Genomic DNA, 19848 nt, shown 5'->3' with positions numbered 1-19848 from the left:
CCCTGCACCTTCCCTTCTCAATTATCACAGCCGAATGATCTACTCCAGGTTATAAGTAATGAGGGGAAGATAGGAGACGGGCAGATCCATGAAGCTGAGTGGAAGAAAGTAGAGTTTGATTTTCTGTGTATACAAAGTCTTCAGAAAAACGTGCAAAAGCTTAGTAAATGCAGCCTGCTCAGATAATAAAACTATATAGAAAAGCATTGAGGCAATTTGCACCAAAGTGAGGCTAGGGGATCGTTTGGGAGGGAGTGGGGTGTGGCCAATAAGAAGGAGAAACAAATGAGCAGCGCTGGGGACTTTGTCAATGTGCCATTTCTAGGAGGGGGCTCGTTGTATGTAAATCACTGAGGTCTTCTTTGGGGGTTGTTTTTATCTATATTTCTTATATTTACCCCCCAAAAAATGTTTCAAGAAAATTGACCTGAGTCTAAGGAGGCTCCGCCTCCCAGGATCCCCCTTAACTTCTTCCCAGCCCCCAGCCACACAGTTTAAAATAATCTGTTGAGGCCAGGCACGGTGGCTCACACCTGTAATCCCAGCACTTTGGGAGGCTGAGGTGGGTGGATCATGAGGTCAGGAGATCCAGACCATCCTGGTCGACATGGTGAAACCCCGGCTCTACTAAAAATACAAAAATTAGCTGGATGTGGTGGCGTATGCCTGTAATCCTAGCTACTTGGGAGGCTGAGGCAGGAGAATCGCTTGAACCAGGGAGTCAGAGGTTGCAGTGAGCCGGGATCGCGCCACTGCACTCCAGCCTGGCGACAGAGAGAGACTCCGTCTCAAATAATAATAATAATAATAATAATAATAATCATCATCATCATCATCATCATCATCATCATCTGTTGAATTCAGGTGCACATTTCTTCTCTCAAGAAATCCTGCCCATCGCTGAAGGTGCACACCCCAGGGCTGGTGTCCTCGTTCCATGACACCTGTTCACCTGGACCCCTGGAAGCAGAGCCTGCAGGAGCAAAGCCCCAGGGCTGACAGACCCCGCCTGCTGTGCAGTAACCAGGGGAAGTGTGGCTGAGTAAGATACGGGTGGTGAAGAAACCCATTCTGATACCCAGATAGCTGCAACAAAGGGAGAAGTGTGTGCCCTTTTCAAATTGACCCTTTCCCTTCTGACATTTCTCCCTTCCAAACCCCACAGTACAACAGTTACAGCCTCAGTTTCCCAGGCCTCCTGCGAGCCAGGCTTCCCCCCGCCCCCCGTCCTTCGTGTGTATCAACATGCAGAATCCTCACCTCCACAGCCCCGTGTCCCTCTGCTCAGGCCTCCTGAGACTGAACCCCTGACCTAGGGGAGAACGACCCCACCTTGCCTGTGCCCCCCACTGAAGCTCCCGTCCTGGGGAGCTCAGACGTCAGGAGCCTCCGTGTCTCCCCTCTGCACAGTGACTCCTTGAGGACAGTGTCTGGCTCTGCTCTGTTGACCTCGTTGTGTAAAGAGGAGGTGCCCACTTCGTTGCTGCTGAGAGAGGGAGGAGAGGCTGCCTGCTCACCTCACCTGCACCCCAGTCTCTCATGGCCCTGAGTTCCACCTTTGGCTGGTATGACCTCCACAAACAGTGACAGCCCCGGGGGTGATTCAGGGGTCTGGCCAGATGGGACCCAATTTCACCTTGCAGAAAATGTTACCCAAATGGAAGGGCAAGTCCGGGAAGCAAGAAAGAGGTTGGGCCCTGCATAGGGTGGGAATCTGGATGAGTTTCTCACCCTCTCTGGCCTCAGGGTTCCCAGGAGTGGAAATGGGGTGGTGGACAGTGGATCTCCCAGGACTGACCCGGCCCTGACAGTGTCTGTGTGTGAAGTTCCTCCTCTGAGGAGGTCACTTTTCTGACTTCACCCCCAACCTCCTGCGGGACCTCCCCTAAGTCTTGAGACCTCAGTTTCTGAGAGAAGAACCCTGAGGAACAGACGTTCCCTGGCGGCCCTGGCGCCTTCAAACCCAGACATGCTGCTGCTGCTGCTGCTGCTGCCCCTGCTCTGGGGGACAAAGGGGATGGAGGGAGACAGACAATATGGGGATGGTTACTTGCTGCAAGTGCAGGAGCTGGTGACGGTGCAGGAGGGCCTGTGTGTCCATGTGCCCTGCTCCTTCTCCTACCCCCAGGATGGCTGGACTGACTCTGACCCAGTTCATGGCTACTGGTTCCGGGCAGGAGACAGACCATACCAAGACGCTCCAGTGGCCACAAACAACCCAGACAGAGAAGTGCAGGCAGAGACCCAGGGCCGATTCCAACTCCTTGGGGACATTTGGAGCAACGACTGCTCCCTGAGCATCAGAGACGCCAGGAAGAGGGATAAGGGGTCATATTTCTTTCGGCTAGAGAGAGGAAGCATGAAATGGAGTTACAAATCACAGTTGAATTACAAAACTAAGCAGCTGTCTGTGTTTGTGACAGGTAAGGCACGGGCTCCAGCACAGGCCACAGGGGAAGGTCATGAGGGGCTGAAAGGCAGGGCTGGGATGGGGCCTGGGAGGGGGTTGGGATTGAAATAAGTCGGTCTCCGGGGAGGAGCTGGACCAGAGCTTGAGCTTCCTCCAGGGCTGCACCTGAAATACCTCCTCCTGATCCTGTGTCCCCATCTTCACCAGCCCTGACCCATAGGCCTGACATCCTCATCCTAGGGACCCTAGAGTCTGGCCACTCCAGGAACCTGACCTGCTCTGTGCCCTGGGCCTGTAAGCAGGGGACACCCCCCATGATCTCCTGGATTGGGGCCTCCGTGTCCTCCCCGGGCCCCACTACTGCCCGCTCCTCAGTGCTCACCCTTACCCCAAAGCCCCAGGACCACGGCACCAGCCTCACCTGTCAGGTGACCTTGCCTGGGACAGGTGTGACCACGACCAGTACCGTCCGCCTCGATGTGTCCTGTGAGTGCTGGACCAAGATGCCCAGGTCCCTCATGGGTTGGGAGGTGTTCCTGAGGGCAGGGGATGGGGTTCAAGCCTGGACACTGGGTTCTGGGTCCCAGAATCTGGGCTGGGAGTGGGGTCAGGAGAATGCCGACTCCATTTTCCCTGTATTTGCAGCTCCTGGGAAGACAGGGCCAATGTCCCCAGTCCTTATAGTAATGTGGGTCTTCATGTCTTTCTGTCCCAGACCCTCCTTGGAACTTGACCATGACTGTCTTCCAAGGAGATGCCACAGGTAGGACAGAGCCCCCTCCCTGGGGTTGGGGGAGCAGGGCCTTCAGCTCAGGATGGGGCTGGGTCTCTCCTCATCCTGGAATCACTTTGGGAAACAGAGCTGCCACTGTGCGTGAGCCCAGGGCACAAGAGCCCACATCTCCAGCCCGCGTGACCATCTGAGCCCCTGTCCCCATCCTGTCCCTGCTCCCCTTAGACTCCTCCACACACCCCTTCCTTGGCCCCACAGCAAGGACAGGGTGACATTCACACAGCTGGATCAGACTCCCAATTTTTTTGGTTTTTGTTCGTTTTTATTTTGGGACCAGACTTTCAAGTTTCTTGTCAGGCATCTCCTGAATACTTCCTCTGTCTGATCTTTCTGTTTTCCCAGTAGTTTCGATCTAAGTACTTCTGCCCAGATGATACAGTCACATGGGCAGAAATTCAAAATGCACAGCAAAGTCTGTCCTCCAGTGCCCATCCCCCTCCACGGAACTGACCAGCGTCCGTCCAGGCTGCCCTGAGTCTTGGTTTGTGCACCTGGAGGATCTCAGAGGTGGTTTGACATCGTAGTGAGACTGTCCACCCCGTCCTCTAGGACCGTGTGTGATTTCACTGCACAGATGGACTCTGACTTTGTGGCATCCCTTAAGGAAAATCATGGCACAAATATCCTTCCGCAGAAACTGTGCAGTGGATAGTCTTGTATCTACTTCCACAGGAATATCTAAGTGTATGGGATAAATTCCTAAAAGCAAAATATACCAGTGTCGTATGTTGTTTCTAATTTTGAAAGATGCAGTGAAGTTGTTCTCAATTAAAAGTGGACAAGTTTACATTCCCAGCACTGAGTGTGCGTTTTCCTGCACTTCAGTCTATGTCTGTGTGTCAGTCCCTCTCACTAGTCTCTTTCTGTGTCCTTCCTCTTTCTCTGGATCCATTTGTCTCTCTGACCCTCTGTCTCCTTTTATTATTATTATTATTATTATACTTTAAGTTTTAGGATACATGTGCACAACGTGCAGGTTTGTTACATATGTATACATGTGCCATGTTGGTGTGCTGCCCCCAGTAACTTGTCATTTAGCATTAGGTATATCTCCTAATGCTATCCCTCCCCCCACCCCACAACAGTCCCCGGTGTGTGATGTTCCCCTTCCTGTGTCCATGTGTTCTCATTGTTCAGTTCCCACTTATGAGTGAGAACATGCGGTGTTTGTTTTTTTGTCCTTGCAATAGTTTGCTGAGAATGATGGTTTCCAGCTTCATCCATGTCCCTACAAAGGACATGAACTCATCATTTTTTGTGGCTGCATAGTATTCCATGGTGTATATGTGCCACATTTTCTTAATCCAGTCTATCATTGTTGGACATTTGGGCTGGTTCCAAGTCTTTGCTATTGTGAATAGTGCCACAATAAACATACATGTGCATGTGTCTTTATAGCAGCATGATTTATAATCCTTTGGGTATATACCCAGTAATGGGATGACCCTCTGTCTCTTTCTCTGCAGCATCCACAGCCCTGGGAAATGGCTCATCTCTTTCAGTCCTTGAGGGCCAGTCTCTGCGCCTGGTCTGTGCTGTCAACAGCAATCCCCCTGCCAGGCTGAGCTGGACCCGGGGGAGCCTGACCCTGTGCCCCTCACGGTCCTCAAACCCTGGGCTGCTGGAGCTGCCTCGAGTGCACGTGAGGGATGAAGGGGAATTCACCTGCCGAGCTCAGAACGCTCAGGGCTCCCAGCACATTTCCCTGAGCCTCTCCCTGCAGAATGAGGGCACAGGTGGGTAAGGGAGGGGCTGGAGGAGGAGAACACACCTGCCCCACCCTCATGGACCACCCACTGCCCCTGAGCTTCAAGGGGGAGCTCAGCTCTGGTCTGTGCTCAGCTGTGAGGCCTGGAACTTCCCTGCGACCCAGAGCATCACTGTCCTCTCCCCGCCAGGAAAGGGGTGCGGGGTGGGGAGAGGGGAGGAGTGGGTCTTGGAGGGGAGGAGCTGGGGCCCGGCCAGGTGTGTTTGGAGGGACAAGCGCCTTGCTTTGCAGTGCTTAGACTAGGATGAGGCACATGAGGCACTTGCCTTGGCACCAAATTTAAGAAGCCAAAGAAAAACCCAACTCAGAAAGCAAGTAAAGTAATATTGCAATGCCATGATCTTTTGAAAAAACTAAAATTGAATGCAAAATGATTCCACAAGAACACAATATCAAAATTGTAAATAAAGGCAAGACAAGCTGCATCCAGCACTCTCATGCCTCACTGGCCTCAGAAGTAGTCTCCTTTCCTCCCTCCCATTCGTATTCTGTGTCTGGGAAGGAGAAGAGGGGAATGGAAGTCTAGGGCCCTGCAGACAGTGGGAGGGGAAGAGACCCACTTCTCCGTGATATAAATCCCCAAAGCAACTCCAATCCATCTGCAGGCACCTCAAGACCTGTATCACAAGTGACACTGGCAGCAGTCGGGGGAGCTGGAGCCACAGCCCTGGCCTTCCTGTCCTTCTGCATCATCTTCATCATGTGAGCATTGACCCTGGGGAGGGAGAGAGAGACCTGGGGCAGGGCAGACCGGGAACAGAATCCCTGAAGCCAGAGCTGGAAGGACCTGGATGGGTCCAGGGCTTGGGGCAAGAATGAGCTCACGGGTGCACGGTGAGCATTTCACGAGCGTCCTTGTCTGTGGGGCTCCACATCTGTAGCAACCTCGGGCCCCACCATCCATGAGGCAGGAGCCTCTGTTTTCACCGTTGGGGTCTCTGGAACTGGACCACCGCCGTTGCGCCTCGGTCACCCCTCAAGCCCCCAGTAGGAAATACAGGGCAGGGGTTGGTCTGCCCACTGCACCCCGATCTGACCACACTGAAAGGCTCTCTGGTCTCTTCACTCAGAGTGAGGTCCTGCAGGAAGAAATCGGCAAGGCCAGCAGCGGGCGTGGGGGATACAGGCATGGAAGATGCAAAGGCCATCAGGGGCTCGGCCTCTCAGGTGAGTGATGTGGGCTTCTCCACACCGAGCATCCAGCCTGGACACCTCTGACAGGATGGCCCCCAGGATCGCTCTCTTTGGTATGGCCAAAGTCACTTCCTCGTCTCCTCCTCCTTCCCACAGGCCGGCTTCTACAGGACTCCCCCATCTTGCTGACAGCATGGCAGTCCCTACCCCCAATTTTTCCCAGGCCAGGCACTGAGTAGGAGTTATCTCCTCTCTGTCCTCCTTTTCTTCTCTATAGCCCCGATTCACCATCTCTCCTCCATTTTTCCTCCCCAAGAATAGCTGGCATCTCTTCTCCCTGGCCCCAGCCATCCTGACCCCTCTCATTATTTTTCCTATTGGCGGGACCTGATTTCTTTGACCGGCTTGTCATCCTTACGCCACTAACCTGTGAGCTTCCCCAGGTCAGGTATCATGTCTCAATTAAGGCCCTGTAATTCTCTCTCATTTACTCTCGTTTTGCCCGTTGTATCATAATTTACATGTAGATACTCATTTCTTATTTTTATTTTTTTCTCGAGGCAGAATCTTGCTCTGTCACCTAGGCTGGAGTGCAGTGGGGCAATCTCGGCTCACTGCAACCTCTGCCTCCCAGGTTCAAGCAATTCTCCTGCCTCAGCCTCCCAAGTAGCCAGGATTACAGGCACGCGCCACCAAGCCAGGCTAATTTTTGTATTTTTAGTAGAGACGGGGTTTCACCATGTCGGCCAGCTGGTCTCGAACTCCTGACCTCGTGATCCGCCCGCCTCAGCCTCCCAAAGTGTTAGGATTAGGGGCATGAGCCACCGCACCCAAGCTGATATTCATTTCTTTAACAGTCATTTGTTGCCACCTCCCTCAATTAAAGACTGAGCTGCCACTTTGGGAGGCCAAGGTAGGAGGATCGCTTGAGCCCAGGAGTTTGAGACCAGCCTGGGCAACATAATGAGATCCCATCTCTACAAAAAAATGCAAAACTTAACCAGGCATGGTGGTGAGTTCCTGCAGTCCCAGCTACTTGGGGGGCTGAGATGGAATGATCCCTTGAGCCCAGGAAGTGGAGGGTGCAGTGAGCTGGGATTGCACCACTGCACTCCAGCCTGGGCAACAGAGCCAGACTCTGTCTCAAAAAAAAAACCAAAAAACAAAACAAAACAAAACAAAAACTGAGCTGCAGGAGGTCAGGGCCCACACCTACCATGTCCATCATAGTTTATCCAGCACCGGCTCAGGGCCTCACACACGGGGGCCTCAGCAGGACTCCAGGCTTTGGGGTCAGAAGGAACAGATGGATTGGGTCCTGCTGCAACAGGGACTTTGGGCGCAGTGCTGACTGTTTCGACCTCAGTTTTCATATTTATAAAGTGGAGATAATAATAATATCTCACTATGGAGTTGTTGCGGGAAGTTAATGAGATTAGTAAACACCAAACAGGTGCTCAGTAAGTGTTAAATGTTGGAGGAAAGCATGAAAGACACTTCGACAAAAATGCAGGTGGGATGAATGGAGGACGGACCTCCTGGGCCTCCTTCCTGGACTCTCCCTGCCTCATCCTGGCCCCACTGCTCTGTTCTGACTCCCTTCTCTCTCTCTGTCCAGGGACCCCTGACTGAATCCTGGAAAGATGGCAACCCCCTGAAGAAGCCTCCCCCAGCTGTTGCCCCCTCGTCAGGGGAGGAAGGAGAGCTCCATTATGCAACCCTCAGCTTCCATAAAGTGAAGCCTCAGGACCCGCAGGGACAGGAGGCCACTGACAGTGAATACTCGGAGATCAAGATCCACAAGCGAGAAACTGCAGAGACTCAGGCCTGTTTGAGGAATCACAACCCCTCCAGCAAAGAAGTCAGAGGCTGATTCTCATAGAACAAGAACCCTCTAGAGCCCCATGCTATGCAGTAGGTCACCAGGGCTCCCTCCTCCTGTCTAACCAAAACTTGGACCAATGTCTCCCCTTTCCCCGGCTACCAGGGACCCATCCCTGCCTCTAGCTTCTACTACCCACCATTCTCCTCTCGACCTCTCTGAGGTTGACTATTTTAGATTCCACATAGAGATGAGGTCATGTGGTACTTGCCTCTCTGTGTGTGGCTCATTTTACACAAAAAAATATCCCCTAGGTTCATCCATGTTCTCTCAAATGACAGAATCAAGCACTGAATATTTTTTTTTCTTTGAGAGATGGAGTTTCGCTCTGTTGCCCAGGCTGGAGTGCAGTGGTTCAATCTCTGCTCACTGCAACCTCCACCTCCTGGGTTCAAACGATTCTCCTGCCTCAGCTTCCCAAGTAGCTGGTACTACAGGCGTGTGTCACCACGCCCAGCTAATTTTTGTATTTTTTAGTAGAGACGGGGTTTCACTATAAGTGGGCCAGGCTAGTCTCAAACTCCTGACCTCAAGTGATCTGCCTGCCTTGGCCTCCCAAAGTGCTGGGATTTCAGGCATGAGCCACCGCACCCAGCTTGCATTGAATATTTTCAAGGAGCTAAAAGAAGATTTTAAATGGTCTCACAAAAACAGATAAATATTTGCACAGATGGGTGTGCTAATCATTGTGCCTTGATGGTTCCACGATGTATCCGGGTGTGGAAATCTCACTGGGTCTCTCTCAAGGCCACTCGGCTACTCAGGACAGGGCTGGAATTTAAAGCCTGTCCGATTCTGAGGTCTCTTCTCTCATCTAGCACTGAGTCAAGCAATCAGCAGGCTGGGCACCCCTTAGCCATAAGTTTTCAGGAAATAAATTCCTTGAGGGCATTGACTTTTACAAAAGAGGGAGCAGCAATGGCCTAGAGTCTCAGGAACAAGACAGGTGCACTGAGGAGATGAAGGCCGGGACCCCCTGCCCAACCTGTATGGCGGGTCTGTACTTATTTTGTTTACCCCCAATTTAAAACGTTTTTTTTTATTGCAGGTTGTTTGTTTGATATGGTTTGGCTGTGTCCCCACCCAAATCTTATCTAGAATTGTAATCAGAATTATAATCCCCATGTGTTGGGGGAGGGACCTGGTGGGAGGTGATAGGATCATGGGGGTGGTTCCCCCATGCTGTTCTGATAGTGAGTGAGTTATCACGAGATCTGATGGTTTTGTAAGTGGTGGTTTCCCCTGCTCTTCTCTCTTGCCTGCCACCATGTAAGATGTGCCTGGTTCCCCTTCCGCCATGATTGTAAGTTTCCTGAGGCCTCCCCCGCCATGTGGAACTGTGAGTCAATTACACCTCTTTCATTTATAAATTACTCAGTCTCAGGTATTTCTTAATAGCAGTGTGAAAACAGGCTAACACATTGTTCTTTGAAATTTAAAAATAGCGTTAGCTTTTCAGTTGAATCACGCAGCTCTTACATGTGCCATGCCATGAGTGTTGCCAAACATGCACCCCTGTGTAACCAGCTTCTCAATCAAGGATAGAGAAATTTTCCTTCACTCCAGAAAGATCCTGGTGTCCTTCCCAGTCAATCCCTAGCCCTGAGAGCCACCACTTTCTGATTCCTATCACCAGATATTATTTTCCATGTCCCTTGAACTTCATATAATTGGCATCACCCAATGTGTATTCTTGTGTCTTTTGTTTTTCACTCAGTGTTGCGTTGTTGTTGTTGTTGTTGTTGTTGTTGTTGAAGACAGAGTCTCACTCTGTCTCCCAGGCTGGAGTGCAGTGGCGTGATCTCGGCTCACTGCAGCCTCCACCTCCCGAGTTCAAGTGATTCTCCTGCCTCAGCCTCCTGAGTAGCTGGAACTACAGGCGCACGCCACCACACCCAGCTAATTTTTGTATTTTTAGTAGAGACATGGTTTCACCATGTTGGCCAGGATAGTCTCGATCTCCTGACCTTGTGATCCACCCACCTCGGCCTCCCAAAGTGCTGGGATTACAGGCATGAGCCACCGCACCCGGCCGCATTGCATGTTTTGAGATTCATCCATGCTGTGTGTGTCAGTATCTTTTCCTCTTTATTGCTGAGTAGGACACCATTGCATTGTATGAGCAAATCACAATTCATTCCCTTATTTTTTCCTATTCATTGATACTGTTTTGGTTGTGGCAATTATCAAGACAGCTGCTGTGAACATATTTGTATGATAGTGTATTGAGATGTTTCCATTTCTCTCTAGGATTTGGGGCAGGGCTGAGATAGGAACAATGAGGTTGGATTCCCATGCTGGCCTTTCGAGAGTATCCAGGATGTCCTGTGGAGATGACATTCAGCAGCTCAGGAGGGACAGAGGGAGGGGCTGGAGATGGACACAGGAAACATCAGAGGGTCTCATCATCCTGATAATGGAGTTGTTGTGGGTTGAATCTTGTCCCCCAGAGAGATATGTTCAAGTCCTAACTCCCAGTATCTATGTCTGTGGCTTTATTTGGAAATAGTCTTTGCAGATGTAGCCAAGCTAATATTAGGAGGTCATACTGTATGAGGTGGGCCCTAAGTGCCATGACTGGTGTCCTAATGCAATAAGGGAAATTGAACACAAGACACACATAGGGAGGAAGGCCACGTGACAGCGGAGGCAGAGGTTGGGGTTTTGCTGCCACAGCCCCCAGAAGCTAGAAGACGCCAGGAAGAGTCTTCCCAGCACTTTCCGAGGGAGACAGCCCAATGACACCATGACTTGGGACATTTGGCCTTCATAACGTCAAAGAATAAATTTCTGTGGCTTTAAGTCACCAAGTTTGTGGGAATTTGATATGGAAGCCCTAAGAAGCCAACACACCTGACACCAACACACCTGCTGGCACCTGCTATGCACTGGGAACTGGACCCATCCTGTCTCTGCAGGCCTCAGAGTGACTCTCAAGAGGGCTGGCTCTACCCAGGTCACAGAGGAGCCCGGGTAAGCTGCTCAGCACCACACAGGCCAGCAAGTAGAGGGTCCAGGTCGAATCCAGGCAGCTGCCCCAAGGCACAAAGGGTGCCTTAATCAGGGGAACAGAGGCACCTCTCACCCAGCACTCACTTTATGTTTCCTTTAGTTTATTATTTATTTATTTTTATATTTGCTTACATTGTTTTGACCTGGTTATAAAACAAGCAAGAAAACAAACAAAAACACAAAAATCAAAGCTCACTGTTGGGAAAATTGGGAAATACAGAAAAGCACAGCAAAGCCTTAGATTTCCAGGTGCCCTGTTTCCACTTTTTTCATTTGGTTTTCCTGCTCAGGACCTAATTTTTATTTTGTTTTATTTTTTTGAGAACTGTCATATTGGTTACTTCTATTTCCTATAAAAGTGACATTAAAGGAAGAAGTTGAAGAGTCATGTGTACTGGATTCTCACATACTTGCCAAGTCACAGGATTCAACCACTTTGATAACTTTTTTTTACTGATAAACAGGACATGCATATCACGAGCCTCACATTGAAGCCTGAAACACAAGTCCAACCCCGACAACAGTGTGCAAATGAATGCACAAAACAATCTCTGGGAACTCACGTCTCCTGGATCACCTACAACACGAGCTTTGTGCCCCTGGCTGTGACACAGTTCATCCCCTAATAGTGCACACGCTTTTGCAGAGACTGAGTCCATTTCCAAACCTCCTGCAGGTTTGCTCTCTTGGCCAGGATGGCGCCTCAAGCAGATCCCTTTGTGGTTTTCACCGGCAGTGGTAGAAGCCTTGATTCAGAGGGAGTACAGAGCAATTAAAAACAAAACCAAAACAGTTCACAGATAAAGAGAAATTCACAACAGTTCCCAGAAGGGAAACACCGACTTTTCTTCGCGTGGGAGGCAGGTTGAAAGGAAGACCCTCAGACTTGTCACAGATTGCTTCTTCACGTGTCCGGCCAGAAACGTACAAACCAGGCAAGTTTAAGACAAGTCCCCAAGGAGGAGAACTGCTAGCTTTCTGGCATAATTTTAAGTTCCGCACCAAGGATCCTATTTTATCACTTGGGTGGTGAGTACAGAGACAAACATAAATGCCAACAAAAAATCCAATAAGCTGGTGCCATCCTGACCATTCCCGGCATGAGTGCTGCCTGCACCGCACCACGGCACACACAGTCTCCCCTGCCAGGGGCTGGCTGCCTCGTGTTCCCTACGCTTTCCCAGAGGTGCCCAAGGGCCAGGCCCTCCTCTCCTATCTTGTGATTGGTATCCCCTCTCTTCCCACACACCACCATCAGCATCAAGCTGCCCAAAGTATCAGGCTACCAAGATGCTGCTCGTCTCTTACACAGGTGCTATTTTTACATGGCTAATTTGGCTGGATCAACAACAATAAATCAGTACCAAGACCCTGACGCACCCAAGAGTTTCAAAATAAAATTAAAACAGGAGAGCAACAAAGTGAGAGGTGAAGCGAGCCGGACTTCCTGGGTCCAGTAGGGACTTGGAGAACTTTTCTGTCTAGCTAAAGGTTTGTAAACGCACCAATCAGCACTCTGTAAAAATGCACCAATCAGCACTCTGTCTCTAGCTAAAGGTTTGTAAACACACCAATCAGCACTCTGTAAAAATGCACCAGTCAGCACTCTGTAAAAACGCACCAATCAGTGCTCTGTGTCTAGCTAAAGGTTTGTAAATGCACCAATCAGCACTCTGTAAAAACAGACCACTAAGCACTCTGTAAAATGGACCAATCAGCACTCTGTAAAATGGACCAATCAGCACTCTGTAAAATGGACCAATCAGCAGGATGTGGGTGGGGCCAAAGAAGGGAATAAACACTGGCCACCCTAGTCAGTAGCAGGAACCCGCTCAGGTCCCCTTCCATGTTGTGGAATCCTTGTTCTTTCACTGTTCAGAATAAATCTTGCAGCTGCTCGCTGTTTGGGTCCGCACTACCTTTATGAGCTGTAACACTGCAGAGGTCTGCAGCTTCACTCCTGAAGCCAGCGAGACCAGGAACCCACTGGGAGGAACAAAGAATTCCGGACGTGCCATCTTTAAGAGCTGTAACACTCACTGCAAAGGTCTGCGGATTCACTCCTGAAGTCAGCGAGACCACGAACCCACTGGAAGAAAGAAACTCCGGACACATCTGAACATCTGAAGGAACAAACTCTGGACACACCATTCTTTAAGAACTATAACACTCACCGCGAGGGTCTGCAGCTTCATTCTTGAAGTCAGCGAGACCAAGAACCCACCAGAAGGAACCAATTCCAGATACAAAAGGACCACTCAGGAATGACTGTTGTTTGGATCGAGATATTCTCCAATATACAGTGCATTCATAGTAACCCACAGGGAGGACCCTGTGGCAGCTCTCCCTCCTCCCTGAAACGCTGGCTGCTAGTTTCTAAAAACCAGCTTGTTTGCTGCACACAACTGTGAAACGTTACACTGCCTAAGCAACACTCCCAATTTTGACACAGGCATGCACGTGCACACGTGCACAGACACATAAACAGATTTGCTAAAACGGTCAAAGGATGCCTCTTCCCAGACAGCGGGGAGTGTACTGGAAGTCGCCTTTGCCATTCAGTATACAGATTTCTTGTAACTTCAGTGTCTAGCGTTAGAGCTAATCCAGACCAAAATGTCTTTCTCTTTAAACGTCCCTGCTGTGATCAAGGGAGTGCACTACCGAATCACAGGTTCAACGGGAACTCCCTGAAATGACTGCTTGGTAAATTCTTGTTCAGTGGATTGACTTTTTTTTTCCTTCATGATTGAAAAATAACTCAGTACACAGAATTTTAATAACCCATGTAATATCCCAAACAACTTCTTAGAAATTGCGAAGTATTATTAACAAAAACCCTAATTCTACAGGAAGGTAATGACGTTTGGCTTCTTTGCATAGCCACACATCTTTCTTTAGTTATACAGGTGGGGACTGAGGAGAGCTTCACCTGATTTGGAAAATCCAAATTTATATATTTATAAATATATTAAAAACATTGCATTTGTAAATGTTTTATAGATTTATAGATCTATAAAACACGGCTTGCTGCAAGCGATTGGTTTGTGTAGGTTCCATTTGCCCCATTGGTCCCAAAAGAGCTGTTGATTCCTTTCAGACTCCAAATAAATAAGTGAAAGCCAGTTACCAAGTTCCAGCCTGATGAGAGGGGCCTCATACGGACAAACCCAGTCTTCCTCTTCTGGGTTTCATCAGCAGTCGCCTAAACCAGTAGCTGAAGAAGGGATTCATCAGGGGAGTGAGGGGGATCCACAAAAACAGGCTTCATCCTTTCCTATTGCAGCCTCTGCTCCCACATGGGCTTCTCATTTCTCCTTCTCTCGATCTCTGTCTTGTCTATTGCATATTGAGTGGATTCAGTTGCCAAACAACCACAGTGAAAGTGAAAAACATAGTATTCCATGGTGTATATGTGCCACATTTTCTTAATCCAGTCTATCATTGATGGACACTTGGTTTGGTTCCAAGTATTTGCTATTGTGAATAGTGCTGCAATAAATATATGTGTGCATGTGCCTTTATAGCAGCATGATTTATAATCCTTTGGGTATATACCCAGTAATGGGATGGCTGGGTCAAATGGTATTTCTAGTTCTAGATCCTTGAGAAATTGCCACACTGTCTTCCACAATGGTTGAACCAGTTTACAGTCCCACAAACAGTGTAAAAGTGTTCCTATTTCTCCACGTCCACTCCAGCACCTGTTGTTTCCTGACTTTTTAGTGATCGCCATTCCAACTGGTGTGAGATGGTATCTCATTGTGGTTTTGATTTGCATTTCTCTGATGGCCAGTGATGATGAGCATTTTCTCATGTGTCTGTTAGCTGCATAAATGTCTTCTTTTGAGAACTGTCTATTCATATCCTTCGCCCACTTGTTGATGGGGTTGTTTGTTTTTTTCTTGTAAATTTGTTTGAGTTCTTTGTAGATTCTGGATATTAGCTGTTTGTCAGATGAGTAGATTACAAAAATTTTCTCCCATTCTTTAGGTTGCCTGTTCACTCTGATGGTAGTTTCTTTTGCTGTGCAAAAGCTCTTTAGTTTAATTCGATCCCATTTGTCAATTTTGGCTTTTGTTGCCATTGCTTTTGGTGTTTTAGACATGAAGTCCTTGCCCATGCCTATGTCCTGAATGGTATTGCCTAGGTTTTCTTCTAGGGTTTTTATGGTTTTAGGTCTAACATGTAAGTCTTTAATCCATCTTGAATTAATTTTTGTATAAGGTGTAAGGAATGGATCCAGTTTCAGCTTTCTACATAAGGCTAGCCAGTTTTCCCAGCACCATTTATTAAACAGGGAATCCTTTCCCCATTTCTTGTTTTTGTCAGGTTTGTCAAAGATCAGATGGTTGTAGATGTGTGGTATTATTTCTCAGGGCTCTGTTCTGTTCCATTGGTCTATATCTCTGTTTTGGTACCAGTATAATGCTGTTTTGGTTACTGTAGCCCTGTAGTATAGTTTGAAGTCAGGTAGTGTGATGCCTCCATCTTTGTTCTTTTGGCTTAGGATTGTCTTGGCAATGAGGGCTCTTTTTTGGTTCCGTATGAACTTTAAAGTACTTTTTTTCCAATTATGTGAAGAAAGTCATTGGTAGCTTGATGGGGATGGCATTGAATCTATAAATCACCTTGGGCGGTATGGCCATTTTCATGATATTGATTCTTCCTATCCATGAGCATGGAATGTTCTTCCATTTGTTTGTGTCCTCTTTTATTTCGTTGAGCAGTGGTTTGTAGTTCTCCTTGAAGAGGTCCTTCATATCCCTTATAAGTTGGATTCCTAGGTATTTTATTCTCTTTGAAGCAATTGTGAATGGGAGTTCACTCATGATTTGGCTCTCTGTTTGTCTGTTATTGGTGTATAAGAATGCTTGTGATTTTTGCACATTGATTTTGTATCCTGAGACTTTGCTGAAGTTGCTTATCAGCTTAAGGAGATTTTGGGCTGAGACAATGGGGTTTTCTAAATTTACAATCATGTCATCTGCAAAAAGGGACAATTTGACTTCCTTTTTTCCTAATCGAATACCCCTTATTTCTTTCTCCTGCCTGATTGCCCTGGCCAGAACTTCCAACACTATGTTGAATAGGAGTGGTGAGAGAGGGCATCCCTGTCCTGTGCCAGTTTTCAAAGGGAATGCTTCCAGTTTTTGCCCATTCAGTATGATATTGGCTGTGGGTTTGTCATAAATAGCTCTTTATGGCATTTTTGCAGTGCCAATAGTCCCAATAGACCAGTGAGTTCTCTCCATTAAGTATAATCCTCCTGGGACTTGGGATTTGTGGTTGCCATGTTGCCACTGGTAAGATTAGAGTTTACATAATAGCCGAGCTGAGAAAATTCTTCCATGGCCCTCAGCGGACACAGAAGAAATCGTGCAGGTCACCTCTGGGTCAGGAACTCATACAGAAGATAATGCTGCCTTGGCTCCTGGCATTGGGGGTTGGGCTGGCCCTTGTCTCTGGATGCTTCGAATGAGAAGTATAGGCAACTGTCCTAATTGGAAATAAACTTCTCAGGTTCCAGGCCTCCCTTGGCTCTGAGGGCTGTGTACGGGAGACAGCAGCATCTGGGATGGATGCCTGCTTTACCAAAGATCAGTCTCCAACCTTGAGGGCTGTGCTGCTTATCTGTTGACGGTCGGAGAGCAGATTGCCAAATACAGGTCAAGAGGTGTATATGACCAATTAAAGGGTCTTCTCCTTTTCCAGTTAGGCTGTTCAGGGCTTCAGCTTTATTCAGTTGTTCAATTTTATTTTGTTATTGTTTAACAATTCTGATGTCTAGTCAAAGTTTAGTAATGCATTTGTTTGAGGGAATATGGTCTGAATCACAAATTCATAGAGCTACCATTATGCAGGGATGGAAAGTGGCTTTTTAATGGAGTTGACTAGTGTGTTCCTAATATGAATAATTAGTAATATTTACAAGGCAGCTTGAATCCTGATAGGCAGAGCACACTGGTGTTTTTCGTTTTGTTTTCATGGAATGCATAGCATATCGTTTCTTTAAGATTTTATCCTAGTCATCTTTTAATACTCTGCTCAAAATGGAGTTCCCTGTCCTGGTCCTTGTCCTTCACTGCTCCCCCGAACACCATATCTATGACTACTTTATGTCAGTACTATAAATATTGCTGTACACTGTGGTGTACTTGTCTTTCTCCTTTTGTAAGTTGTAAACGCTTGATTTTATTCTTGTGTCTTCAGGGCCTGGTACTTTTTCCTGTTATAATAGATGCTCCATAAATGTCTATTCAATAAATAATTTTAATCCTGTGGAAAAAAAAAAAAAGAAAGTGAAAAACAGGGCCGGGTGCGGTGGCTCACACCTGTAATCCCAGCACTTTGGGAGGCCGAGGTAGGCAGATCACGAGGTCAAGAGATCAAGACAATCCTGGGCACCATGGAGAAACCCCGTCTCTACTAAAAATGCAAAAAATTAGCTGGGCGTGGTGGCGAGCGCCTGTAATCCCAGCTACTCGGGAGGCTGAGGCAGGAGAATCGCTTGAACCTGGAAGGTGGAGGTTGCAGTGAGCTGGGATAATGCCACTGCACTTCAGCCTGAGTGACAGAGCAAGACTCTGTCAAAAAGAAAGAAGGAGTTAAGGAAGGAAGGAAGGAGACAAGAAAGAAAGAAAAGGAAGGAAGGAAGGAAAGAAAGAAAAGTAAGCAAGAAAGAAAGAAAGAGAAAGAAAGAAAAAGAAAGAGAAAAACAGACAACCCTCGAGGCACAGGAAGGGCAGCGGGATGACATTTATTGGAGGTAAAAAATCACTGTATTCAGTCCGCTGTCCTCAGACACAGGACACAAACTGAAATCCACAGGGAACCAAAGTGTGGGCTGAAGACGGAGCTGTCTACATAATAGTAAAGAGCACACAAAAAAATTGGATTCTTTTCTCCTACACAACTGCTCACCTACAGGCCGTGGTGACCCGTTTTGCAAGCATGGCAGTGGTGGGCATGGTCTGGCTTTGTAGCTGGCTAGAAAGGAGAACTGTTAGCTTTTTGGCATAATTCTAAGTTCCACACCAAGGATCCTATTTTATCACTTGGGTGGTGAGTAGAGAAACAAACACAAATGCCAACAAAAAATCCGACAAGCTGGTGCCATCCTCACCATTCCCGGCATGAGTGCTGCCTGCACCGCGGCACACACAGTCTCCCCTGCTATGGCTGGTGGGCCAGTTCCGGTTCTTGACTTTGCCTCAAGAAAAGAATTCGAGAGTGAGTCCAAGGTAAAAGTAAGCAAGAGAGTTAATTGCAAAGTGAACGTGCACTCTTAACAGCTGGTCAGAGCGGCTGCTCAAAGGTGAGACAGCGCTGACTGACGCTGGGGAAACTCCCTTTAGGGGAATCTTCCGTGATTACTCATGCGTGGGTGGGACGGTGTTGCTCTTAAGCGTGTTCTGGGTGGTCTGTTAGGCCCGCATGCGCAATGGCTGTACATGCTAGTGCATATACATCGCTGTCTCAGTAGCACCTTAAGTCTCCACGTGAGGGTGTGTTTTCACTATTATAATGAGCATAGGTCAGCCCAAGGACACTACCTAAGCATGGGTTTCTGCACTTGCACGGATATGGGGACTGTCCCTTCTTCCCTTCTACCTCCTTGCTACAGGATGTTTTGACCACGAGCCCAGGATGCGGTTTATGCGCTGTCGGGGTTTGCGAGCTGTCCGGCGGATTGTTCTCTCCGTCTATTTAGCAAATGTGTTTCCCTTTAAGGGAGGCTGTGTAAGGGAGGCTGTGAAACGCCTGTCTAACCTACTTACGCTGCAGCTGCACCAGGGAGCAACACAGAGACTTCACAGGAAAACTGGAAGAAACCACAGACCTTTCTAAAGAAGCGGTGGGCAGCAGCCTACACCACGAGCCAGGCAGAAAACTGTGAGTCCCCACAGTGTGAGAAGGGGAGAGACTGACTCAGGGATGTGTATTCTTTTGTAGCCTTTCCTTCGGGTTGAAGAGCACTTAGGTTGATTCTGTATCTTTCCAATCATTGAATTTTCTCAACTTTTTGCTTTTTCTTCTCCCTCAAGAACACCTATGAGTCTTAGATTTCGGGCAAGTCTACTTTCCCCACTCAAGATGACATTGCAGATCTCAGTCGGGAGCTTCTCTCAACCCGTGACCGCCTCCTGAGTCAGCTAGCTGGCTTCTGCAAGGCCCCCTGTGAGGTAGCATCGGGAATGGCTTCCCTCTGTCCCTGCTGGAGCCCAGGACTGCACGCCAAGCACATCCCAATGTGACTCCTTATCTACTCCCCAACGCTCCCTAACTCAGCTCCAGTGCTGGGCAGGGTGAGGGCTTCCCCCTCCTGTGGCCTGGACTGCGTGGCACCCCAGTGGGAGTGCACATCCCTGAGTCAGTCTCTCCCCTTCTCACACTGTGGGGACTCACAGTTTTCTGTCTGGCTCGTGGTGTAGGCTGCTGCCCACCGTTTCTTTAGAAAGGTCTGTGGTTTCTTCCAGTTTTCCTGTTAAGTTCCTGTGTTGGTCCCTGGTGAAAAGGTCACAACATAAATCTTTATACACTGTTTCATCTTTCCAAGGTGGGAGAGGCCGGCTAACAATGCCTGCAATCTGCCATCCTCTCTTTTCAGTTTTGATGTGTTATATACACTCATGCACATATACATAATGTTTACCAAAGTGGGATCATATTCTTAAATGTCCTTTATTAGGAATTCTGAAACATTAAGGGCAAATTTAATCAGAGGAAGGTGAATATACAGCTCTGAGTGTCTAGCATATATTTACAAAATATCTCAAGTCTTCTGTATCTAGATATAATTACAAAATATCTCTGAAGTCTTCTGTTTTACTCTGAAAGTCCCTATG

The 19848-nt window shown here is 48.2% G+C and overlaps 1 protein-coding gene across 3 annotated transcripts, besides 2 other annotated features; it reads left to right on the top strand.

Moving 5' to 3' along the window:
• The first annotated feature begins 1902 nt into the window (after positions 1 to 1902).
• On the top strand, positions 1903 to 9360 carry SIGLEC8 (sialic acid binding Ig like lectin 8). 3 transcript variants are annotated; one of them, XM_011526734.3, is made up of 7 exons: positions 1903 to 2423; positions 2651 to 2896; positions 3126 to 3173; positions 4670 to 4939; positions 5577 to 5673; positions 6042 to 6138; positions 7724 to 9360. In XM_011526734.3, the coding sequence occupies exons 1-7, from the start codon at positions 1970 to 1972 to the stop codon at positions 7976 to 7978; spliced, it is 1467 nt and encodes a 488-aa protein (XP_011525036.1). In that variant the 5' UTR covers positions 1903 to 1969; the 3' UTR covers positions 7979 to 9360. The 3 variants fall into 3 exon arrangements, with proteins under 3 accessions (XP_011525036.1, NP_055257.2, NP_001350477.1); NM_014442.3 differs by having other exon boundaries at positions 2618 to 2896; NM_001363548.1 differs by lacking the exon at positions 2651 to 2896.
• Positions 18305 to 18444: an enhancer, noted in NCBI's record as "active region_15020". NCBI's record gives its function as "activates an Ori minimal core promoter by ATAC-STARR-seq in GM12878 lymphoblastoid cells {active_cell/tissue: GM12878}" and the evidence as "EXISTENCE:reporter gene assay evidence [ECO:0000049][PMID:35858748]".
• Positions 18745 to 19034: an enhancer, noted in NCBI's record as "active region_15019". NCBI's record gives its function as "activates an Ori minimal core promoter by ATAC-STARR-seq in GM12878 lymphoblastoid cells {active_cell/tissue: GM12878}" and the evidence as "EXISTENCE:reporter gene assay evidence [ECO:0000049][PMID:35858748]".

Source organism: Homo sapiens, chromosome 19 (genome assembly GCF_000001405.40).
Source record: "Homo sapiens chromosome 19, GRCh38.p14 Primary Assembly".
Taxonomy (NCBI): domain Eukaryota; kingdom Metazoa; phylum Chordata; class Mammalia; order Primates; family Hominidae; genus Homo; species Homo sapiens.
Note: the sequence above shows the minus strand (reverse complement) of the source record. Positions and strands in the feature narration are given on the sequence as shown.

Bases quoted from the DNA above. Each gene is read 5' to 3' on its own strand.
- SIGLEC8 (NM_014442.3), top strand. From the start codon at position 1,970: ATGCTGCTGCTGCTGCTGCTGCTGCCCCTGCTCTGGGGGACAAAGGGG. The intron at 2,424-2,617 runs GTAAGGCACGGG...CATCTTCACCAG, and splicing joins GCTGTCTGTGTTTGTGACAG to CCCTGACCCATAGGCCTGAC. The intron at 2,897-3,125 runs GTGAGTGCTGGA...TTTCTGTCCCAG, and splicing joins CGTCCGCCTCGATGTGTCCT to ACCCTCCTTGGAACTTGACC.